At 39.9% G+C, this 27,978-nt stretch overlaps 1 protein-coding gene across 16 annotated transcripts in view, besides 4 other annotated features; it reads right to left on the bottom strand.

The window, feature by feature from the left end:
• Window positions 1–27,978, bottom strand: part of HIVEP1 (HIVEP zinc finger 1) — a 204,356-nt gene that overhangs the window by 47,022 nt on the left and 129,356 nt on the right. For 13 of the 16 annotated variants that reach the window (XM_047418701.1, XM_047418699.1, XM_011514548.3 and 10 more), the window contains 2 exons: window positions 3,098–3,588; window positions 28–1,744 (listed from right to left, as the gene is read on the bottom strand). The exons of the other annotated variants lie outside the window; for them this stretch is intronic. In XM_047418701.1, the coding sequence (XP_047274657.1) occupies window positions 566–1,744; window positions 3,098–3,588 (1,670 nt within the window). In that variant the 3' untranslated portion in view covers window positions 28–565. Of the gene's footprint in view, window positions 1–27; window positions 1,745–3,097; window positions 3,589–27,978 lie in introns of those variants that run through there. 16 annotated transcript variants of the gene reach the window in all.
• Window positions 341–841: an enhancer, noted in NCBI's record as "H3K4me1 hESC enhancer chr6:12164419-12164919 (GRCh37/hg19 assembly coordinates)". NCBI's record gives its function as "activates a minimal SCP1, AML or CMV promoter by ChIP-STARR-seq in naive H9 embryonic stem cells {active_cell/tissue: H9 hESC(naive)}" and the evidence as "EXISTENCE:reporter gene assay evidence [ECO:0000049][PMID:30033119]".
• Window positions 1,561–1,610: an enhancer, noted in NCBI's record as "active region_24013". NCBI's record gives its function as "activates an Ori minimal core promoter by ATAC-STARR-seq in GM12878 lymphoblastoid cells {active_cell/tissue: GM12878}" and the evidence as "EXISTENCE:reporter gene assay evidence [ECO:0000049][PMID:35858748]".
• Window positions 1,671–1,730: an enhancer, noted in NCBI's record as "active region_24012". NCBI's record gives its function as "activates an Ori minimal core promoter by ATAC-STARR-seq in GM12878 lymphoblastoid cells {active_cell/tissue: GM12878}" and the evidence as "EXISTENCE:reporter gene assay evidence [ECO:0000049][PMID:35858748]".
• Window positions 26,341–26,420: an enhancer, noted in NCBI's record as "active region_24011". NCBI's record gives its function as "activates an Ori minimal core promoter by ATAC-STARR-seq in GM12878 lymphoblastoid cells {active_cell/tissue: GM12878}" and the evidence as "EXISTENCE:reporter gene assay evidence [ECO:0000049][PMID:35858748]".

Here is a 27,978-nt window from a genome sequence, read left to right as displayed (position 1 = left end):
ATAAAGAAGGCACAACTGAAGCAATGGTAAAGTCAGTAAACAATATTTTACTGAAACATTTCATAACACAGAAAATCTGTCTGAAGTGTAAAGTTACTGTCTTACACAAGGAGGACAGACCCATTTTCAAAGACTAATATGAATACAATAAATATGGAGTTTACATACTAATTTATACACAGAAACTCTGCCCCATAGCCATAAAATTTATATTCAACAGTGGAACATATAATTTAATCATTTGATTTATTTGACAGGTTTTCCTTACTAAACACAAATAACTACCTGGTTTTCATATACATATATAATATATTTTTATGTATATAGATATTCAACAATCTGTACAGTTTCTAAACATAAAGCTCCTAAAAGGCACAATTGTCTATACAACATGTACAAAAATGGCTGGAGCTGACACAAAACAACAATTATTGGTCAAAAGTTCATGATTGCACAAAGATTAGTCATGAGTTTATGTCAGAAAAATGTGCTTTAAGGAAAGGAGGGTTTTCAAAGAAACCTTTAAGTGTTATATAAAAAAAAAGCAAATAAAAAATAAAATCCATCAGGTTGCTATCACAAGCCTGTCCTCGTCATCATCGCTGCTCACGTCGCTGAAGTGCACAGTGGGCTGCCTCCGCGGTAGTGCTGTGGGCCTGGGAACCTGTCTGTCTGGAGAGAGAGTCTGCTGGCCTGAGGGCTTTGTAAAAACTTCAGAATGTGCCTTCAGCAGAGGTTGTGACGTGGACGCTGGTTGGCCCTGTATGGAAGTGAGTTCAGGCTTGGGCTTCACGTGATTTGCCGAGGCAGCCTTCTCTGTGTCCATTTTACTCAGGCCATCAAGCCTTGCATGGTCACCTGCAGGGGCAGGTGGATTCAGAACTTTTTTTGCATTTTCCCGCTGGACTGTAGGTAACCCCTGAGGAGACTCGGTCCTGCTGACCTGGTTTGCGCTGGCTACAGAAGTCTGCTTGGGTTGTGTCTCGCATGCTTTGCTTTGGGAAGCTGGCATTTCTGGAGCTCCCTGTGCATCAACGGCTACTTGACTGACTGAGGGGATTAAGGTGGGCAATGCTATGTTCAAGATCTGGAGACCTGGAATGTGTGCCTGAGGGGCGGGGCTGCTTTGTGATGAAGGGTTTGCAGTCAGAACCTGCAGTCCGACAGCATTCAGAGCCAGTCCTGGTGGATGGACTTGTGGGGCCATATTTGTATTGGCTAGGCCTACAATATTGACGGTTTCCATGCTTAACGAGGGGAGTGACTGCAAGCCTGGGGTACTTAGGTTCTGAAGGCCTGGCACGCGGATTTGGCCGATAGGAATACATGGCACAACACTGCTTAATTCAGCCACTCCAGCAGGGTTTGTAGTGCCAGACACTTCTGTGACCGTATTCCTATGAGTACCCAAAGTTCTGTGAACGACACTGACAGCAGGGATCGTGAGCTGCACTGGTCCAGCCTGAAGGGGCACAAACGTGGAGTATGTGAGGCCAGCAGGTACCACATGGATCCCCCCAACTGGAACCATATTATAAGGTGTCCTCGATTGCTGCTGGGAATGCAAAGGAAGGTGGCTAAACAAATGAGTGTGGGGAGAAGGCAAGCCTGGAGTCGGCTGTAGAGTTATTTGCTGCTTCTGTTCTTGAGGGTCAGGATGTGGTGAGGCCACAGAAGGCATCCCCGCTGCTGTCTGGGGGCTGTGCTCAGCTGCAGCAGGAGGAAGTCTTACAGATGATGGGCTCTAAATGACAAGAGAGAGCAATCCTTTTATGACAGGTCTTTTGTAATCACTGAGATATAAAGCTAGTGCTAAATCTATTTCTTCACAATGAGATAAAAGTAAGTATATTTGCATTGATAAAAATGATGTTTGCTGCAATGAAATTATTTTTCGATTTTTAAAAATAAGCTTCCAATTAAACAATTATTACATCTTTAATTTCGTTTCTGGTAGAAATAATGGCAATACATCTTGTATAGTCTTTTGCATGTCTGAAGCAAATTTCCTGGATTTTGTCATATTGTACACAGAGAATAACTCTGAGAAGTGGACACAGCTATATTCTTAAGCTGCTATTTTTGTTATTATTTCTGTTTCTGGCACTACCAGCTCCACCTTATTTTAGAGATTAAGAGTTACTGAGAAATTGAGATTCAAGTTGGCTATGTCAACTCAATGGGGAAAAATGAACTAAAGAATTATTTGTGAAGAGATGTTACTATGAAAAAGTTCTCTGGTTGTTTGTCTATCACTTGCAAGTTTATGAAATGTCTACTGAAAACCAGATTTCCAGGCACTGGTAAGTGTCTGAGAGGTTTTGGGATAGAGACGCTTACAGCACAATCTGCCACAATTAGGCATAAATCCTATTGCAATATTCAATACATACTAGAGGTAAGAGAACTGTCAATGAGGGAAGAATGTATTCCTCCCAGAATTAATCATTTGTCACAAAACAGCCAGAGGTAGAGCAGGGACTCACTCACAGCACATGGAGCGTGACTTTTCAGAGGCCTGTGCCTGCCTTGAGATAGTTCTTGGGCAGAAAGCTCTCCCAAGCTGCTGTAGCAATGTGATAATTCAAGCAAAGTGAACTTCTTGATGTGTTTTCGGGTCACATTAACTTTGCCATAGAAACTGGTAGCTGTCTTGCCAATGGGGGCAAAGTGCAAAATGTTTGGGTAAGTCAGTGAAAATCCATCATCACATCAGCACCAGTGGAGAAACTGCTCAGAAGGGGCCAGCAGATAAATCAGTTGCGGGACTTGTGTTCGCCACTGTCACGTTTTTTTTTTTTTTTAATTTCAAAAATTTTTCAAAAAGCAAATAAAAATAAATGGGTGTATTTTTCAAGAACCATTTGGTTCTTTCATAGATTTACAATAAAATATCTGAACTGCTTAAGATACTCAACAAGACTCCAAAGGGCAAAAATACCCTCTACCCTTAAATACAAGAAAAAAATAAAGCTATACAAACTGATTTGGCCTAAAAAAATCACTTAAGTGCATTATTTTCTTAAGCCATTAAGTTCTCCATATTTAATAGGTTAAAACGAAAAAAGAAATAAAAGAACAACTGCCAATCATTTACCTGTGTTATAGCAACAGCTTTTCCTGCCATAGAACTTCTCAGAATTTCTTCTGACTCAGGGTAGTCCACAGACATCTGATGACACGGGGACCTGGAAGTGTCTACAGACGGAATTGTGTCGTTTTCATCTCTCGCAGCACGCTGCCTGGCCTTCCCCGGAGAGAGTGTCTTCCTATTGTAGTCAGACTGTGCTGTGCTCAGGACAGTCATTCTGGTGAGCAGCGCCCTGGGCAGAACGTCCATTGGGTCCGTGTGTACCCCAGAAAAGCAATCGGTGATCCTGACATCCTCGTCAGTACTCACAGGGTCCTGAAGGCTACTTCTAGATGGAAGGTGCTGCGGGCTAGCTGTGACTGAGGGTGTGGCTGACAGGACTGATTCAGCCTGGCTGTCCTCATCATCGTCTTCATTTTCATTGTCATCCTCATCTGGGCCATCAGATTCTTCAAGATCATATCCAGATCGCTCATAACTGAATCTCTGTTTTTCATCTAATAAAAACAACCAAGAGGTATGTGATGGAATGCTTTCCAAGTGCACAAGTGCTATTTTAAAAATTTTTTATACGTTTGGCAACTCTGCAAGGATTATAAAAGACAAGGACCCTGCCCACAACGAGCCTCCGCCCTGGCTGAGAAGGCCCTGGGGAAGAATAAGACAGTTGGCCATCAGGATTCAGAGGAGGGCAGCTCTGCGGGAGGGGCCGGGGTCAGGGACGAGGAATGGGAAATGACTCTCAGAAGGGGAATGAGGCAGGTGGAGGGTAATCAAGAAACAAGGAAATGAAGGCCTCTAAGATTGCACTTGAAAATCTTTAAAACACAACTGAACTACATATAAAATTAATAAAGAGTTCAACGCAACTCTTTTCCTGAGCTTTTTCCCTATTTTGTATCTTCCTTTTACTGAACAAATTAAATCAAACACAAAAAACTGATGGCTGTTGGTATCTGTGAGCAACATACATTTTCTTTAGATTTGAATAGTATTATAGATGAGGAAAGAAAAGGACTTTTATCTGAGGAATGTGGGCCCTTTCAAATTACTAGGCCCCAAAGAGGCATTAAGATGAGACAGCAATCACATCCTACTCCACACTTTACTGAAGCTGCTTCCCATTGCCACAGGTAGCTGTGAATTAACCTAGTAATGTGGCACTGGACACTATATCCCACATTCTATAGCTTAACCGTGGACAGGCAGTCACTAATCACTGTTACTTCTGTATATCCATGAGAATTCCTGACAGAACTGTCTAACAGTCTACTCGGTAACACCGGCCCCCCTCCCCTGCCTCCTGTTTTTTTGTTTTTGTTTTTTTCTTTTTGCCTTTAAAAATCTGCCTGTAACAAAGGCCAAGCAAGCAGTTTGGGTGAGTCATCTGGGCAGCTGTCCTTATTCTGGCTCAAGTCAACTCTTTCAACCACACTTTGTGCTTTAGCTTCTTCTTTTGGTTGACACAGGCATGTTTCAATGGTCCTCCGTGTCGTCATATTCACCTAATGTGTAAGCCTTCTTATTTACTCAGAGAGATGCTACAATTTCCTGTCAATTTCTTCTGTGATATGATTCAACCCATTCCTCATAGAAAGGGGGATATTATCTAAAAGTCGTTAGTATCAGCCTCTTAACATCATGTGAAACTGAGTTTAACAAGGAATCTTCAAGATGATCCAGGAAATAGTTTCAAAAATCTCATAAGCTCATGTGGAACTTTTAAACTCTTCACATTTTCAAAATCTTGCAAATTAGAGGCTCTTTCCCACTGAAAGCTTAATAAAATTTAGTTATGGGGGAGGAATGTCACTGAGATATAATAAAGATGACATTAGACAATGTACAGTTTAGCTGTGATACATTCTGCACTTACAGGTATTTTTTTGAAAAGAGACAAACATGTAAACAGAGCAACAAGCAATAGGCTGCCTTTCCCAAATGGCCTAGATATTAATTTTTTACTTTTTCTTTGTATATGACAAAAATGAGTTTAGAGAAAAGCCTTAGAAGACCCATAGAAAAGATTGGAGGGTGATTATTTCTAGGGGATGAAAAGAACTTGACATTTTACATTATTTATCACAAACGTGTGCTACTTTTATAATTAAAAAACTCTAAGATGAAACATGCATTTAGGTTCTGTTAGCATGTGATTTCATAAGGCTTTTGCTTTTAGGGTTCTACTATTATGCTGTAAAATAAGTAATGAAATAAAATAATACCAAAGTATTGACTGGCTCTAGGGGCCTATGCTGGAGACAGAATGTGTGATTTCTGGGTAAATACCCAGACTCCTGCACCTCAGCTACTTCTCTACCTTGCCTATTTTAAAAATTTTTTATAGGTTTGGCAACTCTGCGAGGATTATAAAAGACAAGGACCCTGCCCACAACGAGCCTCCGCCCTGGCTGAGGAGAAGGCCCTGGGGAAGAATAAGACAGTTGGCCATCAGGATTGTTTGGCATTGTAAAATTCGAGTCATCCTCAATTTGACTTGAATTTGCCACATCAGTAGCAAATTAGGTATTTTTTTTTTTTGGAGACGCATCTTCTTTAAAGAAGTAAAATTTGTAAAAAGACTAAAGAGAACTGAATGACTGGGAGAATAAGTTACTGGAGAGAAAGGATGATTTCATTCAAGGCTGCTCTTGCTGTAAAGTCTAACAAGGATGGGACCTGTTTACGTTAAACACACACACAAGCGTGCACGTGCACGCGCGCGCGCACACACACACACACACGTACAGCCTAACTTTAAACTTATTAACTTTTTCCAAACCCATCAATAAGCCGAGGTCCCAGATAATCAACAGCCCAAAATCTAAGGAGACACAAGCTTGTGTCACCGAGGGCAGACACAACAGAACCCCAGTCAGGGGAGTCCCGCTCAAGTATCTGGTTAGAGTCAAGAGTGGGCTGCCAAGATTGTGTGAAACCTCTGAGGGTTACATTCTCACACAGGATCTATGCCATGACCATCACCCAGGTGCTCACAGGAGGGTGGGGTAAGAAGTGTCCGCTGTGTTCCAGATATGGGGGAGAGAAGCAGTAACTCTAGAGGAGTGGCAAGGAACTACACCTGGATCCATCTCCCCTGTCTCCACCAGGAAAACAAAAGACCTATCCTGTGAGGAGAAGGGCGGCACGCACTGTTGTCCTTAGGACACTGCTGAAAACTCACTGCAGTGTGGAAAGGGAACAGGAAAAACATACACATACAACCTGTCTCCTTGGGGAGGGACAGGATTACACAGAAACTCCCACAACACTTGGGGGAGAGGGAGGAGAACTGAGAAGGTCACAGCCCAGAAACCTAAGAAAATGGTGCAGGTACGAGACTGTAACTCAATCGGAACAGAGACAGCACCCCATCCTCCTCCTTGCCCCACAATGTCAAGCTAAGGAGCTTAGCATTACAGGTAACAAAACAGTGCTTGGAGAGAAACAGGAGAACAAGAATGTGCAGAGAGACCCTTTCTGAGGCATAGTGCAAAAGGAAGACCTAAAACTAGAACTGAACAGGTGATGTTCTTGTGATCCAACCCCCAGCCAAAACACAAGGTATCTCTACAGGAACATGAAGCCTTTCCTGCAGTGAGGATAGCTGCCAACAAATCTCTCAAACCTAGCAAACTCCTAACTAGATAAACTCTAACTCCCACACTAAAGGCCTCTAGGAAGGAGAGGCATGCACATTTCTAGGATACAAACAATTTCCATGGGTCTCTACTGTCTTACACAAGATGTACAGCTTTCAACACAAAATTACAAGGCATACAAGAAGGCAAGAAAAAAACATACTTCAGAGAGACAAAGCAATAATCAGAACCACAGTCAGATATGACACCTATGTTAGAAATGACTGAGAATTTAAAATAACTATGGTTCATATTTTGAAGGCTCTAAAGGGAAAGGTAGACAATAACAGATGGGACTTTCAGCTGAGTGCTGACAACTATTAAAAAGAATCCAATGAAAATGGTGCAAATAAAAAATATGGTAACAATATCAAGAAAACTGTTAAATCCAGAATTCTATGCCCATTGAAAATAATTTTCAAAGATGAAAGAGAAATACAGACTTTCTTAGAAAAACAAAAACTGAGGGGATTCATTGCCAGCTGCTTGACCTAGTGGACAATAAATGTTAAACGGAAGTTCCTCAGGCAGAAGGAACACAACATCAGATGGAGGCCCGGATCTACACAAACAAACAAAGAGCAGTGAAAATAGAATAAATGGGGACACAATTTTTTTTCTTATTTTTTAATTGCTCTAAAAGATACCTGAATGTGTAAAACAATGTACTGTGCGTTCACAGTAGATGTAAATGTAAAAAGGTATGGCCACAATAGCATAAAGCACGGAAAGAAGGAGCTGTGTATAAACTGCAGTAAAGTCTATAGGCTCCATGTAAAGCAATGTAATATTATCTGAAGGTAGATAAATACAATTTTTTAAAAGTATAAATAATAAGTCAGTAGAGGAAATAGAACAGAATCATAAAAAACACTCAGTTAATACTAGAGAAGGCATCAAAAGAAAACTGAAACCCAAAAATGAAACAAACAGAAAACGGTTGCCAATATGGTACATTTTAATCCAATTACACAAATAATAACATTAAAAGGGGTGGTCTAACACATAAATTAAAAGACAGAAATGACTAGGACTGAATAAAATGCAAGTCCCATGTATATACTGTATATAAGAAACGCATTTTAAATATTGATATAAAGACATAAGTAGGCTGAAAATAAAAGTTTGGGGAAAGATATACCATAAATCAATAACTAAAATACAGCTGCAGAAACTATACTAATATCAGACGAAGTGGACTTCAGAGCAAAGAATATTATGAAGGATAAACAGGAGCATTACATAATGATATAGGTCATCCCATGAACATAACAATCCTAAGTGTGTACGCAATAGAGCTTCGAAATAAAGGAGCGGAAACTGAAAAAAATAAATCCATAATCAGAGCTGAAGACTTCAATAATCCACTCTCGGTAATTAATGGGACACATAAATAGAAAATCAGGAAGAACATAAAAGACCCGCAAAACACTATCAAGACCTAATAGACATTTATAGAAATGTTCCACTCAACAGCAGAACATACTTTTTATATAAGGGTATGTGGAACATTCACCAGTACATACCATATTCTGAGCTACAAAATAAACCTCAACTATTTAAAATCAGTAGAAACCATACAGAGTGTGTTTTTACATGAAAACAGAATTAAACCAGAAATCAATTAATTGGAGGATATCTGAAAAACCATCAAATTATTGCAGAATTAAAGAACACATGCATGATACTGGTACAAGAACAGACACATAGATCAACGGAACAAAATAGAGAACTCAGAAATAAGACTGCACACCAGCAACCATCTGATCTTCAACAAACAAAAAGAAGTGATGGGGGGAAAGAGTCCCTATTTAATAAACGATGCTGGGAAAACTGGCTAGCCATATGCAGAAAACTGAAACTGGACCCCTTCTTTACAATATATATAAAAATTAACTCAAGATGGATTAAAGACTTAAATGTAAAATGAAAAACTATGAAAACCCTAGAAGAAAATCTAGGCAATATCATTCAGGATACAGTCACGGGCAAAGATTTTATGACGAAAACACCAAAAGGAAAAATTGACAAATGGGGTCTAATTAAACTGCAGAGCTTCTGCACAACAAAAGGAACTATCATCAGAGTGAACACACAACCTACAGAATGGGAGAAAATTTTCACAATCTATCCATCTGACAAAGGTCTAATGTCCAGAGTCTACAAGGAACTTAAACAAATTTATAAGAAAAAAAGTAACCCGATTAAAAAGCAGGCAAAGGACATGAATAGGCACTTCTCAAAAGAACACATACATGCAGCCAACAACATGAAGAAAAGCTCAACACCACTGATCATTAGAGAAATGCAAATCAAAACCACAATGAGATACCATCTCAGGCCAGTCAGAACGGCTATTATTAAAAAGTTAAAAAATAACAGATGCTGGAGAGGTTGCAGAGAAAAAGGAATGCTTTGACACTGCTAGTGGGAGTGTAAATTAGCTCAACCATTGTGGAAGACAGTGTGGTGATTCCTCAAAGACCTAGACCTCTGCAGAAATACCATCTGACCCAGCAATCACATTACTGGGTATATACCCAAAGGAACAGAAATCATTTTACTATAAAGATAACATGCATGCATATGTTCATTCGTAATAGCAAAGACATGGAATCAACCTGAATGCCCATCAATGATAGACTGGATAAGGAAAACGTGGTGCATGTACACCATAGAATACTCTGCAGTCATCAAAAAGAATGAGATCATGTCCTTTGCAGGGACATAGATGGATTTGGAAGCCATAATCCTCAGCAAACTAATGCAGGAAGAGAAAACCAAATACCGCATGTTTTCACTTATAAGTGGGAGCTGAATGACGAAAACACGAGGACACATTGGGGGGAACAATACTCACTGGGGCCTGTCTGTTGGGGGGTGATAGGGGTGTGGGGGAAGAACATCAGGAAGAAATGCTGGGCTTAATACTGAGATGATGAGATGGTTTGTGCAGCAAGCCACCATGGCACACGTTTACCTGTGCGACAAACCTGCACACCCTGCACATGTACCCCTGAACTTAGAAGTTGAAGAAAAAAAAGAACACATCTCTAAATATTCATTGGGTTAATGAGGAAGTCTCAAAACATGTCAAATATTTTCAACTGGATGAAAATTAAAACACAACATTCGAATTTTGTGGGATGTAACTAATGCAGTGGTCAGTGGGAAATTTATCGTATTCAAAACTTTCATTAGAAAAGAAGGTTCTCGGATAAATCTAAATTTTCAGTTTAAGAAATCAGAAAAAGAAGATCAAACTAAACTCAAAGCAAGGAGAGGGAAAAAATAATCAAAATAAGAACAGAAATGATGACATTGAAAAAAGAAAAATAGAGAAAGGCAAGGAAACCAAAAGCTGGGTTCTTAGAAAAATTCTCTGGTAACACTAGCCAAGAAAGAGAGAGAGAAGATACAAATTACCAACATTAGAAAAGAAAGGTGGGATAAACACACAATTTTTAAAAAATTTATTATACTTTAAGTTCAGGGATACATGTGGCAAATGTGCAGGTTTGTTACATACATGTGCCATGGAGGTATACATGTGCCAGGGAGGTTTGCTGCACCCATCAACCCGTCTTCTAGGTTTCAAGCCCCGTATGCATTAGGTATTTGTCCTAATGCTCTCCCTCCCCTTGTCCCCCACCCCCAACAGACCCTGGTGTGTGATGTTCCCCTCCTTGTGTCCATGTGATGAACATACAATTCTATGCATTTGTCAGAAACCACGTACTATACACCATAAAGTAAATTCTATTGTAAGTAAATAAAAACGGAATCAACTAGGATGTGAGGTGAACCTAAGAGGAATGCAAGCTGAGACAGACGGCTCTGACTGCAGCTGCATGGATGGCACAGCCACGCTAAGGGCATGGAAAGTAAGGTCCTGTCCTAGATAACCTTGGCAAAGAGGGTTTTGACTGGAGACTGTGAAGGCTAGAGACAAGAATGGCACACGCTGCACGTAATTTTAAATCTGTTTCTTACAGGAGTAAAGGTAAGGATTTCTGAAACTAGTTTATTTATATACTAGAACTGAGCAAATATGTAAACATACTGTAGGTGCGAACCAGGTTTCTCACTGTGGGTGAAGAAGAGAAGGAAATGGAGACGACTAGAATAAATTCAGTGGTGCTGGACTGGAAGTTATCAGTATGGATTCATATCTTCACTTGTATATATGGAATACACATGTACACTGCAACCTCCGCCTCCCAGCTTCAACTGATTCTCTTGCCTCAGCCTCCTGAGTAGCTGGGATCACAGGCATCCGCCACCATGCCTGGCTAATTTTTGCACTTTTAGTAGAGACGGGGTTTCACCATGTTGGTCAGGCGGGTCTTGAACACCTGACCTCAAGTGATCTACCTGCCTTGGCCTCCCAAAGTGCTGGGATTACAGGCGTGAGCCACTGCACCCAGCCCGCTCTAGGGTCTTTTACTCTACTGATACAGCTATTCTCTCACATAAGCTTGCACAACAAGCACCTCCCTATTAGCCCCATAGTCAAATCAAGACTTCTCACTAGTACCTTCTGTCTTCTGATTGTTTAATAGGACACTATCAATTCTTGAAATCAATTTCAACACTTCTACTGGTTAACTTGGAAGCACAGGAAATTTCACCCCAATTCACTCTAACCTAGATACACATTTTAAATTCTTAGAACCTAAAAGTGCTCTTATCTTGTATCTATTTTTTTTTTTTTTTTTTTTTTGCATTTCTTACTCTATTGTACATATGATGACTAAATGGCTCTATTCCGGTTGCAGCCATCTATAGCCTGGATCCTAAGTTAGCATCATTCTGTACAAACCAATACTATTTGATCATAATTCAAACAAGGACTAATTAAGGAGTTGACTTTTTCTCAGAGAATGATTTAAAAGATGAAAAATGCAGTTAATTACTTTTAAAGTGTTGAGCCCACAGCTCATAAATGTCACAGCTAAGATTCAAACCCATGTTAGTCTATGCCTAGATATTCCACATTCAATCATATTTTAAAAATCTAACTACAGAATCATCAGAAAGGTCAACAATGAATTATAGTCAATAAGCTACCTTATAAATATGCATGAATTCAATGTTTGTAGGTACAGACATTAAGAATGTCATATAATTATTTGATTACAAGTAACAGAATATATAAAATGTAGTTCCCAAGGAGAATGTAAATAATTGAACTTTTAAAATTTCAAATATACTGCATTATATAAAAGTTTAAGAATCAGTTATATTATAAATATTTTAAATTGTTAAGACATTTCAAGAAGCATGCTGATTTCTTTTTTAGCATATGCAAATAATATGAATAATTTAAAACGAACACCATATATTTTTTATGTACGTAAAAACTATTTGAAGTGTAAAACTATTTGGCTCCATTTTAATCTGATTTTGCCTTGATTATATTAAATTTCAGGTCAGGTCAGGATTAGCAGTATGGGTGAGAAGACACCCAGGGTGGCTTCTCTGCTCCCTTCTCCCCTCCTGGATGAGCCACATGCCTGTAGCTTGGAGAGGATGTAGGAGGGGCTGGGATTCCTTTCCTGGGTTTCTTTCACTGAGATAAGCACAGAATGATGTTTCTGTCTCTGAATACATAGTATCTGAAATCTCTGCTAGAGGAGACCACTGTCAAAGTTTAAAAACCTGCAAATGAATTTTGAATCATTACATATTTGTTAAACAGGACTGATATTCTGGGTAACAGAGAAAAGATAAAATGGGTAGCTTAAATGAACAGAAGACAATGGTATCCTTTTAAACATCCATGGCACCAAAACAAAGCACAGACAACTCTGCCCTCTGTTTGGATTCATAAGAATAAAAGTCCTTTATATACTTCCCTGTCCCCCTTAACCTCTGCCCCTGCCCCCTAAACAAGACTACTGCTGCTGAATCAAAAGTCGTACTGATAAAAGACCCAGAAAGGAAAAGTGCCTTGCCTGGGATCAACAAGTCTGCGAGGACAAGAACGAGGACTTGTTATGGACTCAAAACACTTGTCATATATGACTCTGTGATACTGCTTACTTTGCTACTGCATGTTACTTAATGTAACAACTATGATACTATGTTGAGTAACTGGTTTTTTTGTTGTTGTCTTTTTTTGTTTTTTTGAGATGAAGTCTTGGAGTCTTGCTCCGTCACCCAGGCTGGAGTGCAGTGGCATAATCCTGGCTCACTGCAACCTCTGCCTCCCAGGTTCAAGCGATTCTCCTGCTTCAGCCTCCCGAGTAGCTGGGATTACAGGTGCCCGCCACCATGCCTGGCTAATTTTTGAATTTTTAGTAGAGATGGGGTTTCACCATGTTGTCCAGGCTGGTCTCGAACTCCTGACCTCAGGTGATCCACCCGCCTCGGCCTCCCAAAGTGTTGGGATTACAGGTGAGTAATGGTTATATCAGGGATTGGCAAACTATGGTCACCAGCTGCATGTGGCTCTCCACTGGTTCTTGTGGATAAAGTTTTATTGGAACACAGCCAGGCTCATTTCTTTATATACTGTCTGTGGCTGCTTTTGTGCTACAGTCACAGTTTAGTATTCATGACAGAGAATAGGTGGCTTGCAAAGCCTAAAATATTTACTATCCAGCCCTTGACATTAAAAAGTTTGCCAACATCTATGCCACATCACCCTCCAGGTTTAAACCTAATTACCACCCATGACAGAGTTGATACCACACCCATCGTCCACAAGGAAGTTAAGACGCTTGTACTGTATATGATTAGAATGCATCAAAGCCAGGATTCAAAAACAGGTTTCTATGAACTTAGGAGCCCTGTCATTATGCCAATAAGATACACTGACTTTCTCCTTTTCTATTACAATTGTTCCTTTCTTGGTGTGTATAATACACACTAATACTTCAGGAGGGTAAGCACTGTGGCTTACCCCTTTGCAGCCATCAGAGACTCTAGAACAGACCTAAGGAATCTATATTTGCTTAGCAAATTCATAAATAAATGGTCCTAAAAGTTTCATTTAATTATGTCCTCCCAGCCACATTCCCCTCTCATTATAAACAAATGTTTCTAATACTCAATAAAATTTTATATCAGCACAAGATTAATTCCTTTATTTTCTGTGAATTTCAATTCATGAGGGAAAAATCAGGCATATGATGTAGCAACATTTTTGTCAAAGTTTTGATACATTTACGTCAAACAACTTCCCTAAAGATAAATTTTAAAAGTTATTATTTGAAGATGAGTCAGGTGAACCGCAACCTGCTCGCCCACTGCTGCCAGACAGTGACACCTGCTGGAAGAGTCGGAGTCGCAAAAGCAGCAGGAGGGGCTCCCTGAGAGAAGGGGCTCCCGAGGGTAGCAACCTGGCCCACGTACACTCAGTAGCAACCTTCTTTTGTTGTTGAAGTTTGCCTGTTTTTGTTTTTCACATATGTTTAGAAATATTGCTCTGAAAGCCAGATAAACAATGGCAACCTAGGGAAAAAATTTTTTTAAAGAATGTGAATACAATTATATATATATATTTTAAAGATAAAATCATCATTAAAAACATAATGGGGCAGAGTTTAATGTTTAACTTTAGGAAGTAAACCAAAATACTGTGTCACGTGCGTGTCATTCAAAATAATATTAGCACTGCTTTAAGTATAAATCCTAAAGCCTATTATGGTTTCATATTCTACACATGGAAGTGTTTCTTAAAAAGAGTAATAATGTGTTCTATAAAAATCCCGATGATAATATATTCTACAGGTTTCATTTGGAAAAAAAGCTTTGCTAGTAATTTTTAAAAATGCACCTAAATTATTTTTAAGAGTAAATGTGATATAGGTTTTAAAACCTGTGATCAAACATCATCTTTACTGTAAGTACTTAAACTCCAACAAGAATAATGCTTCTCACTGCACTTCGTCATATTAAACGGTTCTCCTAGCTGGCGGCTGAGGGTACACATTAACATTCCGTGCACTGAAGTCCAGCATTTGTTGACGAAAACATTCTTCGGATCAAAGGATGAAAAGCAAATTGCTGGCGGCTTGAATTTTGACACAAAAGGTGAAAACTAAAATGTAGTCACTAATACCCCAAGAACAGGAGAACAAAATTCCCGAGGCTATATCATGTTTTATGGCAAGAAAACAAGGGAATGTGCAGTGGAGCAGAGGGATTAGGCTTCCCATGAGCATTTCTTATCATTGCAGCTCAAGTTGCTAGTTTTAAACTAAATAGAAACTTCTTTTAAATGCCGAATGTCCACATTTTAATGGCTGGCTTATAAAAATGTATAATTCCTCCTGCTTCATTAAACGCAAACGTTTCCCAACATCCCCTAATTTATTCCATTGAGAATTAGAACATGAATTCCATCTGCTAAAAGATAAGACAGGTACCGCGCAGCCTGCTGTTGCTAAGGGTGGTAAAGAATTCAGAAGGGGTCTGTGGCCTTTCATCACATCATTTTCACATCACCCTTTAATGAACACTCTTTATCAACCAGGGACCAGGCACAATATGATGGTGAATGATAACCTGGGTATGGTGTGGTTGGCAGAGTAGAGAACAGGTCTAGGATCCTTAAAAGGAAAAGACTGAAGATAATGCTTGGAAAACACTGACATTAATTAGAAAGAAATATGGAGAAAACCTTTAGTGAAAAACAAAACAATGCACATGTAAGGGAGCAACTCAGCACAAACACAGCATAAGACCTGGGCTTTTTCCAGAACGCTATGAGCTGACGGAGATATTACCAAGTGGTAATGATGTTTAAAAAATAAGTACTATACTGGGGTGCTTTGTAGTAACACTGACTGCCTCTTAAGTGTTTAGTACATTTTGTTTAATGAATGAAAGCTCAGAGACGTTTCCTGGTGATGATTATGTTTATGCTACAGAAAAGATCAGTTAAATGACTAAGCCCCCAAATGTGTCCTATAAACCTAAAAACACAATCCTTAGGTTTCTGGCTACTGTTCTGCAAACTCTGGCAGGGGTTGTGACTTTTTAGATTTACAATCAGGTCTCCCAAATTTTGTCCTTTTTAAAAAAAGGTTTACCCCATTTTCCATGTCAGAGATCATCAAGACTCAAACATATAAGGCATGTTCTTAAATATCCTATTAGTATCAAGTATACATCACTTTCAGAAAAGCATGCTGAGTCTAATATTCCCTCTTCACATGCGGCAGGACCCCACTACTGATGTCACTACCACCCTGTTGTTAGGAAACAGGAAGTGTACCTACCAAAACAGAGAAGACAATTTTCATACTGATCAAGACTTGATGTTTCATAGTACTGGTTCCTGAAAAGACACGTGGCTCCTGATGTGGGACATTTTTCTTTCAGCACTATATTATCTAATAGTCATCTATAATCTGTTAGCATGATGAAACGACATACTTCGACTGTGTTTGGGAGAACCCAGGAAATAAAAGAGTTTCCTGGGTTATTTTGGATTTTCAGTTTTCATATAGCTAGACCAGACATCCTTCGATAACTGCAGGTGTGAAGACATAATGAAAGGTGTCTGAAAAGCCACCAAAATCACTGTTTGGAATAAAAGAGGCTGACTTTGATAACTGTTGTGGAAACTTACTGCTGGCAAAACCAGAGGATTGTCCTGAATTTCTACTGTTGACACACAGCAAATGAAATCCCGGTGTGGTTTCTAGCAGTCTGTTTGTGTAACATGACTAATATTCGAATTATGTTAGATTAAGAAGATGAGAGATGATATCAAGACCCCATGATACCACAAAAGGTTGTTCACCATTAAAAGGAAAAGACAGCAAGTTTGTGTGTTAAAATATCCCACTTTACACGATACAATGTTTTCACTTATCCTCACTGACTGGGCTAAGAAAATGGAGAATACACTGTCAGGCAGGACTCTCAAGAATGGCAGAGGCTTTACATAGTGGCTCACTTCTCAAAAGAGCTGCTGCCAAGAGCCTGCTCCCCAAGAGGGGCAGGTATCCCCTATGATGAGGGAGGTGGAGACGCATCGGGGTGTGAAGAGGATGCAGGGGGGAACCAGGCACATGAGCTCACTCGACAGTGACCAGCCCCCAGGTCTCCCTAGCTTTGTTCTGCTGGGCTGTCCACTTCAAAACTTGAAACTGTAGCACCAGAAACATTTTATTCTCCTTCATCATGTTTTAAGTCAGCCACTTCTTCTACTCCTACTGTATGTCTAATATAGTAATCATTTGCATTTTTCTTTGGAAAATAAAATTGTTAGTAAAATGAAACACTTCATAACACACTGCTCTCTTTATAACATTCTTATAGAGTTGATTGGGGCAAGGTTTTAAAACATATACAGAAGCGTTAAAGTAGGACAAGTACAGGCCTCATCTTTTACCAGAGGCTATTCTGTGGTGAAAGTTCTACACCACAGTGATCCTGGGCCAGAGCAGAAACTAATTCCAGGGGAAATAATGCTTCCTAGTTTAATAAATTGATAGCGCTATTTCCAAATTAGTCATTATACATTTATACATAGACATAAAAAACGGGATATCACAAGGGAAAATCATTTCAGACTTTCCATCCAAACTGTTAAACTCCATCTGGTGGAGAATGAGAGAGGCTGAAGTCCTGAGGTACTTCTTTTATAAAACACTCATCCACCCAGAAAAAAGGCTTTGGCTCTGTGGGAGTATTAGTATTATTGTTGCTGAATGGGATCATCCACTTAATGAAACATGCTTCTTTCTGTCATTACTGTCTAAATTCCCACTACAAAATAAAACAGCAGCAACAGCAAAAAACAAACAAACAAACAACAAACCTCAACAATGAAAATTCAAGGGTCACAGATTAAAAGCCCTATAATCTTTTGTCTCCAGAACATTTGAGAACATAACCCAGGATAAAAGTCAGATATATGTGGTCCTAAAGGGGCAATAGCTTTAAACAACTTCGGTTCAGACTTTTGTAATCAAAGAAACACTGTATGTGTCACTATTTAGAAAAATTAAAATACTCAAGAATCCTATCTAAAAAATAATAGTTTTCAAGTGTCAGAACATGAAGAAATGGGTATAAACTGACATGACAGGGGTGTTCATTGTATCCAAGCCCAGTGAATAGAGTTTAAACCTGAAATGGCAGTTCTCATGCTGAAACTCCCCTGCACAGCATCTATTACCTGTCCCCCAGCCTGCTTCCCAGCCTTGGGCCCTGTGGAACTCTCTTGTTTTTCTGTCCCATTCACACTCTTATACCCTATTCCTCTTCCCCAACCTGTGTGTCTTCGGTCAAGCAACTCCTTGGTCTAGAATGTTTGCCCTTCCTTTCCCTCCTCACCAACAGCCTTCCAAATGCAGCAGTGTAGGGATAAATAAATTCCTTCCCTTCCTTCTGGGACCACTTTGGCCATCACCGGTCTTTCCCTGATTCCAGCCTTGGGAAGTGAACCTTGCCAAATTTGGGCTCATGCCACATCATAGTAATCAGCCAGGAGCTCCTGGGCGATAGTAATTGTGCACACATTGAATAGGTGCCGAAGTGATACATAAAAAAAAAAAATCATTCAAAAAGAGAATAAACTTTTCTCCTCTGGAGCTATTAAAAAACAGAACAGATCTTTATCAACCTGGAATGATCATTACTGAGGATGAGAACACAGAATAGTCAAAAAACTTGAATTACCTTCTAGTAATCTGCTCCAATAACCAATAAATAACAAATTAATAAACAAATGCCATTATCACATTAACAATACCTATACTGACCTTGGCCATATAACATAAACACTATTTATAAGTAAAGGTATCAAGTAGCACAGTTACCATTTGATTTTAGTGAAGGAATTTAATGAAAAACGATTATATCTAATTACTATTATTATTATTTTTTTGAGATGGAGTTTAGCTCTTGTTGCCCGGGCTGGAGTGCAATGGCACCATCTCGGCTCACCGCAATCTCCGCCTCCTAGGTTCAAGCAATTCTCTTGCCTCAGCCTCCCAAACAGCTGGGATTACAGGCATGCGCCATCATGCCTGGCTAATTTTTATATTTTTAGTTGAGACAGGATTTCTCCATGTTAGTCAGGCTGGTCTTGAACTCCCGACCTCAGATGATCCGCCTGCTTTGGCCTCCCAAAGTGCTGGGATTACAGGTGTGAGCCACTGCACCCGGCCGACTATATCTAATTCGAAAATTAATAATATTGAATTATTTCCTAGATTATAGAAAGCTGCTGCCAAGAACAGATTATACTGTCCTTTTTAAAAAAAGGTTTACCCCATTTCTCCTGTCAGAGATCATCAAGGCTCAAACATATGAAGCATGTTCTTACATATCCTATTAGCATCACTTAAGTATATGTCACTTTCAGAAAGGCAGGCAGAGTCTAATATTCCTTCTTCACATGCTGCAGGACTACAGATTTTAGAGATTTTTTTCTAGTAATTCAATAAACAACTGTTTATTACCTACTATTTGCCAGGCACAATCCTAAGGAGCTGAAGATACAGCAGCAAGCAAAACATCATCTTTGCCCTTATATAATTTATTTTCTAGTTGGAAGAAATAGATAATAAACACGCACACAAGTGTCTGGTGGTGGTTAAGTGCTATGAGGAAAAAGAAAACAGAATAAAGGGCGTAAGTGATGCTAGCAGTAAGAGGGTGAGGTGCCTTTTGTTTTTATATATATTTATATTACATATATTTATATTCAGGAAGGCCCCACTGATCAAACGACATCTGCTAGAGAGCTGAAGGCAGGGTGGCGTAAGTCTCACAGTATCTGGTAGAGGGCGTTCTTTTTTTTTTTTTTTTTTATACTTTAAGTTCTAGGGTACATATGCACAACGTGCAGGTTTGTTACATAGGGTATACATGTGCCATGTTGGTTTGCTGCACCCATAAACTAGTCATTTACATTAGGTATATCTCCTAATGCTATCCCTCCCCCAGGCCCCCACCCCATGACAGGCCCCAGGGTGTGATGTTCCCCTCCCTGTGTTCAAGTGTTCTCATTGTTCAATTCCCATCTGTGAGTGAGAACATGCGGTGTTTGGTTTTCTGTCCTTGTGACAGTTTACTCAGAATGATGATTTCCAGCTGCATCCAAGTCTGCAAAGGACATGAACTCATCCTTTTTTATGGCTGCAGAGTATTCCATGGTAAATATGTGCCACATTTTCTTAATCCAGTCTATAATTGATGGACATCTGGGTTGGTTCCAAGTCTTTGCTATTGTTAATAGTGCCGCAATAAACATACGTGTGCATGTGTCTTTATAGTAGCATGATTTATAATCCTTTGGGTATATACCCAGTAATGGGATGGCTGGATCAAATGGTATTTCTAGTTCTAGATCCTTGAGGAATTGCCACACTGTCTTCCACAATGGTTGAACTAGTTTACACTCCCACCAATAGTGTAAAAGCGTTCCGATTTCCCCACATCCTCTCCATCATCTGTTGCTTCCAACTTTTTAATGATCGCCATTCTAACTGGTGTGAGATGGTATCTCACTGTGGTTTTGATTTGCATTTCTCTGATGACCAGTGATGATGAGCATTTTTTCATGTGTCTGTTGGCTGCATAAATGTCTTCTTTTGAGAAGTGTCTGTTCATATCCTTTGCCCACTTTTGGATGGGGTTGTTTTTTTTCTTGTAAACTTGTTTGAGTTATTTGTAGATTCTGGATATTAGCCCTTTGTCAGATGAGTAGATTGCAAAAATTTTCTCCCATTCCATAGGTTGCCTGTTCACTCTGATGGTAGTTTCGTGCAGAAGCTCTTTAGTTTAATTAGATCCCATTTGTCTATTTTGTCTTCTGTTGCCATTGCTTTTGGTGTTTTAGACATGAAGTCCTTGCCCATGTCTATGTTCTGAATGGTATTGCCTAGGTTTTCTTCTAGGGTTTTTATGGTTTTAGGTCTAACATTTAAGTCTTTAACCCATCTTGAATCAATTTTTGTATAAGGTGTAAGGAAGGGATCCAGTTTCAGCTTTCTACATATGGCTAGCCAGTTTTCCCAGCACTGTTTATTAAATAGGGAATCCTTTCCCCTTTTCTTGTTTTTGTTAGATTTGTCAAAGATCAGCTGGTTGTAGATGTGTGGTGTTATTTCTGAGGCCTCTGTTCTGTTCCATTGGTCTATATATCTGTTTTGGTACCAGTACCATGCTGTTTGGTTACTGTAGCCTTGTCGTATAGTTTGAAGTCAGATAGCATGATGCCTCCAGCTTTGTTCCTTTTGCTTAGGATTGTCTTGGCAACGTGGGCTGTTTTTTGGTTCCATATGAACTTTAAAGTAGTTTTTTTCCAGTTCCGTGAAGAAAGTCATTGGTAGCTTGATGGAGATGGTCTATAAATTACCTTGGGCAGTATGGCCATTTTCACGTTGTTGATTCTTCCTATCCATGAGCATGGAATGTTCTTCCATTTGTTTGTGTCCTCTTTTATTTTGTTGAGCAGTGGTTTGTAGTTCTCCTTGAAGAGGTCCTTCACATCCCTTGTAAGTTGGATTCTTAGATATTTTATTCTCTTTTTAGCAATTGGGAATGGGAGTTCACTCATGATTTGGCTCTCCGTTTGTCTGTTATTGGTGTATAGGAATGCTTGTGATTTTTGCACATTGATTTTGCATCCTGAGACTTTGCTGAAGTTGTTTATCAGCTTAAGGAGATTTTGGGCTGAGACAATGGGGTTTTCTAAATATACAATCATGTCATCTGCAAACAGGGACAATTTGACTTCTTCTTTTCCTAATTGAACACCCTTTATTTCTTTCTCTTGCCTGATTGCCTTGGCCAGAACTTCCAACACTATTTTGAATAGGAGTGGTGAGAGAGGGCATCCTTGTCTTGTGCCATTTTTCAAAGGGACTGCTTCCAGCTTTTGCTCATTCAGTATGATATTGGTTGTGGGTTTGTCATAAATAGCTCTTATTATTTTGAGATACGTTCCATCAATACCTAGCTTATTGAGATTTTTTAGCATGAAGGGCTATTGAATTTTGTTGAAAGCCTTTTCTGCATCTATTGAGATAATCATGTGGTTTTTGTCATTGGTTCTGTTTATGTGATGGATTATGTTTATTGATTTGCATATGTTGAACCAGCCTTGCATCCCAGGGATGAAGCCGACTTGATCATGGTGGATAAACTTTTAGATGTGCTGCTGGGTTTGGTTTGCCAGTATTTTATTGAGGATTTTCACATCGATGTTCATCAGGGATATTGGTCTAAAATTCTCTTTTTTTTGTTATGTCTCTGCCAGGCTTTGGTATCAGGATGATGCTGGCCTCATGAAATGAGTTAGGGAGGATTCCCTCTTTTTCTATTGATTGGAATAGTTTCAGAAGGAATGGTACCAGCTCCTCTTTGTACCTCTGGTAGAATTCAGCTGTAAATCCATCTGGTCCTGGACTTTTTTTGGTTGGTAGCCTATTAATTATTGCCTCAATTTCAGAGCCTGTTATTAGTCTATTCAGAGATTGAACTTCTTCCTGGTTTAGTCTTGGGAGGGTGTATGTGTCCAGGAATTTATCCATTTCTTCTAGATTTTCTAGTTTATTTGCATAGAGGTGTTTATAGTATTCTCTGATGATAGTTTGTATTCTGTGGGATCAGTGGTGATAGCCCCTTTATCATTTTTTATTGTGTCTGTTTGATTCTTCTCTCTTTTCTTCTTTATTAGTCTTGCTAGCAGTCTATCAATTTTGTTGATCTTTTCAAAAAACCAGCTCCTGGATTCATTGATTTTTTCAAGGGTTTTTTTGTGTCTCTATCTCCTTCAGTTCTGCTCTGATCTTAGTTATTTCTTGCCTTCTGCTGGCTTTTGAATTTGTTTGCTCTTGCTTCTCTAGTTCCTTTAATTTTGATGCTAGGTGTTGATTTTACATCTTTCCTGCTTTCTCTTGTGGGCATTTAGTGCTATAAATGTCCCTCTACACACTGCTTTAAATATGTCCCAGAGATTCTGATATGTTGTGTCTTGGTTCTCACTGGTTTCAAAGAACATCTTTATTTCTGCCTTCATTTCATTACTTACCCATCAGCCATTCAGGAGCATGTTGTTCAGTTTCCATGTAGTTGTGCGGTTTTGAGTGAGTTTCTTAATCCTGAGTTCTAATTGGATTGCACTGTGGTCTGAGAGACAGTTTGTTGTGATTTCTGTTCTTTTACATTTGCTGAGGAGTGCTTTACTTCCAACTATGTGGTCAATTTTAGAATAAGGGCGATGTGGTGCTGAGAAGAATGTATATTCTCTTGATTTGTGGTGGAGAGTTCTGTAGATGTCTCTTAGGTCTGCTTGGTGCAGAGCGGAGTTCAAGTCCTAGATATCCTTGTTAACCTTCTGTCTTGTTGATCTGTCTAATACTGACAGTGGGGTGTTAAAGTCTCCCATTATTATTGTATGGGAGTCTAAGTCTCTTTGTAGGTCTCTAAGGACTTGCTTTATGAATCTGGGTGCTCCTGTATTGGGTGCATATATATTTAGGATAGTTAGCTCTTCTTGTTGAATTGATCCCTTTGCCATTATGTAATGGCCTTCTTTGTCTCTTCTGATCTTTACTGGTTTAGTCTGTTTTATCAGAGACTAGGATTGCAACCCCTGCTTTTTTTTTTTTTTTTTTTTTTTTTTTTTGCTTTCCATTTGCTTGGTAGATCTTCTTCCATCCCTTTATTTTGAGTCTATGTGTGTCACTGCATGTGAGATGGGTCTCCTGAATACAGCACACTGATGGGTCTTGTCTCTTTATCCAATTTGCCTGTGTCTTTTAATTGAGGCATTTAGCCCATTTACATTAAAGGTTAATATTGTTATGTGTGAATTTGATCCCGTCACTATGTTAGCTGGTTATTTTGCCCGTTAGTTGATGCAGTTTCTTCCAAGCATTGATGGTCTTTACAATTTGGCATGTTTTTGCAGTAGCTGGTACTGGTTGTTCCTTTCCATGTTTAGTGCTTCCTTCAGGAACTCTCGTAAGGCAGGTCTGGTGGTGACAAAATCTCTCAGCATTTGCTTGTCTATAAAGGATTTTTTTTTCTCCTTCACTTATGAGGCTTAGTTTGGCTAGATATGAAATTCTGGGTTGAAAATTCTTTTCTTTAAGAATGCTGAATACCAGCCCCCACTCTCTTCTGGCTTGTAGAGTTTCTGCCGAGAGATCTGCTGTTAAGTCTGATGGGTTTCCCTTTGTGGGTGACCCGACCTTTCTCTCTGGCTGTCCTTAACATTTTTCCCTTCATTTCAACCTTGGTGAATCTGACAATTATGTGTCTTGCGGTTGCTCTTCTCAAGGAGTATCTTTGTGGTGTTCTCTGTATTTCCTAAATTTGAATATTGGCCTGCCTTGCTAGGTTGGGGAAGTTCTCCTGGATAATATCCCTAAGAGTGTTTTCCAACTTGGTTCCATTCTCCCCGTCACTTTCAGGTACACCAATCAAATGTAGATTTGGTTTTTTCACATAGTCCCATATTTCTTGGAGGCTTTGTTCGTTTCTTTCTACTCTTTTTTCTCTAACCTTCTCTTCTCGCTTTATTTCATTAATTTGATCTTCAATCACTGATACCCTTTCTTCCACTTGATCAAATCAGCTATTGAAGCTTGTGTATGCGTCACGTAGTTCTCGTGCCACAGTTTTGCTCCATCAGGTCATTTAAGGTCTTCTCTACACTGTTTATTCTAGTTAGCCATTTGTCTAAGCTTTTTTCAAGGTTTTTAGCTTCCTTGCAATGGGTTCAAACATCCTCCTTTAGCTTGGAAAAGTTTGTTATTACTGACCTTCTGAAGCCTACTTCTGTCAGCTCATCAAAGTCATTCTCCATCCAGCTTTGTTCCATTGCTGGCGAGGAGCTGCGATCTTTTGGAAGAGAAGAGGGTCTCTGGTTTTCAGAATTTTCAGATGTTCTGGTCTGGTTTCTCCCCATCATTGTGATTTTATCTACCTTTGGTCTTTGATGTTGGTGACCCACCAACATCAAATGGGGTTTTGGTGTGGATGTTCTTTTTGTTGATGTTGATGCTAATCCTTTTGTTTGTTAGTTTTCCTCCTAACAGTCAGGTCCCTCAGCTGCACATCTGTTGGAGTTTGCTGGAGGTCCACTCCAGGCCCTGTATGCCTGGGTATCACCAGCAGAGGCTGAAGAACAGCAAATATTGCAGAACGGCAAATATTGGTGCCTGATCCTTCCTCTGGAAGCTTCGCCCCAGAGGGGTACCCGCCTGTATGAGGTGTCAGTCGGCCCCTACGGGGAGGTGTCTCCTAGTTAGGCTACACGGGGGTCAGGGACCCACTTGAGGAGGCAGTCTGTCCTTTCTCTGAGCTCAAACACCATGCTGGGAGAACCACTGCTCTCTTCAGAGCTGTCAGACAGGAATGTTTAAGCCTGCAGAAGTTTCTGCTGTCTTTTGCTCAGCTATGCCCTGCCCCCAGAGGTGGAGACTACAGAGGCAGTCTGCCTTGCTGAGCTGCGGTGGGCTCTGCCCAGTTTGAGCTTCCCCAGCCTCTTTGTTTACCTACTCAAGCCTCAGCAATGGCAGATGCCACTCCCTCTGCCAGGCTGCTGCCTCACAGGTAGATCTCAGACTGCTGTGCTAGCAGTGAGCAAGGCTCTGTGGGCATGGGATCCACCAAGCCAGATGCGGGATATAATCTTCTGGTGTGCCATTTGCTAAGACTGTTGGAAAAGTGCAGTATTTGGGCAGGAGTGTCCCGTTTTTCCAGGTACTGTCTGTCACAGCGTCCCTTGGCTAGGAAAGGGAAATCCCCTGACCCCTTGTGCTTCCTGGGTGAGGCGATGCCTTGCCCTGCTTTGGCTCACCCTCTGTGGGCTGCACCCACTGTCCAACCAGTCCCAATGAGATGAACCAGGTACCTCAGTTGGAAATGCAGAAATCATCCGTCTTCTGCGTCAATCACGCTGGGAACTGCAGACTGGAGCTGTTCCTATTTGGCCATCTTGGAATGGAATCCTCCTAGAGGGCATTCTTAACAGAGGAAAGGAGTGCAAAGTCCCTGAGACAGGGGCCTGCTGCGGGTGTTCAAGAAAGAGGCAGGAGACCCGTGTGGCTGCAGCTGAGCACGCGAGGGAGGAAGGTTGGGGAGCTGAGCCTCAGGGAGATGGTAAGGAGGAAGACAGAGCTCCTGGTGGGTGCCTGACCAGTGCTCCAAATGAGTCAGGAAACCCCTGGGGCTTTTAAGCAAAGGAATGACACAATTGTTACAAGGCCACTTTGGCTGCTATGTGGAAGATAGTCTGTAAAGGAACAGGGTAGAACCACAGAGACCAATCAGGAGCTATTCCAGAAGCAATTTAGTAGAGAGGATGTGGCTGGGGTGGGGTGTTGGAGGTGATTAAAAGTGGATGGATTCTGAAGACATTTTGAAGTGAAGAGCCAAAAGGTTTTACTGGTAGATTAGAGGCAACACGTGAGAAAGATGGGCATCAAGGATGACTTCAAGATTTTTGGCCAAGCAGATGGAAGGATGGCGGAAGACTATGGGGGAAGTGTGCTTAGAGGTAAGGGGTGAACCAGGGATCTGGGACACATCAGACCTGAGATGCTAATTAGACACCCCAGCAGAGACTGGTGGGGTAAGTCAGAATGATACCCACATGTGGAATGAACTGGGGCATCATCAGCACAGAAATGGTATCTGAAGTCAGGAGACCGGATGAGACTACCTACAAAGTGAGCACAGACAGGAAGAGAAGAGATCAAAGGCCACAGCCCTGGGGCCTATGTGAGAGGCTGGGGAGGTGAGGAGGAGCCAGCACAGAAGACTGAAAAGGAACAGCTGGTACCACTCTGGGCTAGTGGAAGGCTAGAAACAGTGCACCCTCCAGACACAGCATCATGCTGCAGGCTTCTGACTTGTCCCCTCAAACAGGGACATGTGCAGAATTGCTAAGCAAAATCCCATCTCCAGCTATCATCAGTTTAATGGAGTAAAAGTTTGTTTTAAAGAATAATGAGACCCAATCTTAGTAATCAATAAACCAGAAAGACAACAAACAAATCCATCAAATTGGCCAAAAATTTAAATTCTAACAATATTAGGTATAATTAAAGAGGTGAGGAAATGGAAAGTCTCTTCTGGAGAACAATGTAAAATTATAAAGCAAATATCTAGGTATCTACATACAAAGTGGTACTGTTTATGCAAATTTAAAATACAAACATAAAATCACATACTATTCATAGATATATACATGTACGTTGAATGAACTGAAAGGAAAACCCCCAGTGCAGTGAGAGCTCCTCTGAGAGGGACAGGAGAGTGGCAAGGAGTGGGGAGTAACGGAAGCTGCCCCTCAGCAGCAATAACCTTGCTGAGCTGGTTTTTAAAAAATATATTGAATTTGTGAAAAGAACGTGAAGCAAATATGAGAAAATATTTATAATCAACTCTGCTGTTAATACATGAGTACACACAACAAAATACTTTGTACTTTTTTGTATGTAAAAAAATCTCCAAATATGTTTTAAAAGCACAGAAAAGCACAATAAAACAAGATCATTTGTTTAAAACAACAACTGTTTACTATATTTAAACTTACACTGCAAGCCTATAATAAAGCAAAAGGAGAGGAATAAATTCTGCTGGTGTAGCAACACAGAATGTTAGGTCTCTAGCACAGCATGACACAGCACTTGGCAAAACTCCACCTCTGTGTTCTACTTCACTATTATTTGACAAACACTGTAAAAAAAAAAACTTTGAGCACACTACCCACAAATACAGTAGTTTTAAAAAAAAGTAAACTGAAAGGAAAAAGGTAAAACTACGCTGTTTATCAGAAGTTCTAATCTAAATAGGGAATTAGGATATCAACTTTGAGTAATAATCTAAGACCAGGTTCAAATGCTTTTGGAATTAGATGAAAATACAACAATGAATAAATACATAGGTAGGTCAATCAGTCAGCAAATGTAAACAATCCATGATAATTAACAGAAACTATAATTCTCCTATGCAAATTTAAGATATAAGTACTACCTTCCCTTAACAATTTAGAGAATTCTACAGACATATTAATTTTTATAAGACTCATCTTCTTGAAGAAGATATACATGAGTATATACTATAATAATAGCTTTACCTTGTCCCTTTTCTAGTCAGTGGGTAATGAACGTACTTGCTGAAACTCTTACACACTTTTCCACTTTTCCTAGCTTTTTACAACTGAATTGCTCTGTATCACTGAAGACGTGAGTCATTTCTCTTGTATATTTATAAGTAAATTCAGGCTGATTCATTTCGTGTGTTACAGGGATTAAA

Source organism: Homo sapiens, chromosome 6 (genome assembly GCF_000001405.40).
Source record: "Homo sapiens chromosome 6, GRCh38.p14 Primary Assembly".
Lineage (NCBI taxonomy): Eukaryota > Metazoa > Chordata > Mammalia > Primates > Hominidae > Homo > Homo sapiens.
Note: the sequence above shows the minus strand (reverse complement) of the source record. Positions and strands in the feature narration are given on the sequence as shown.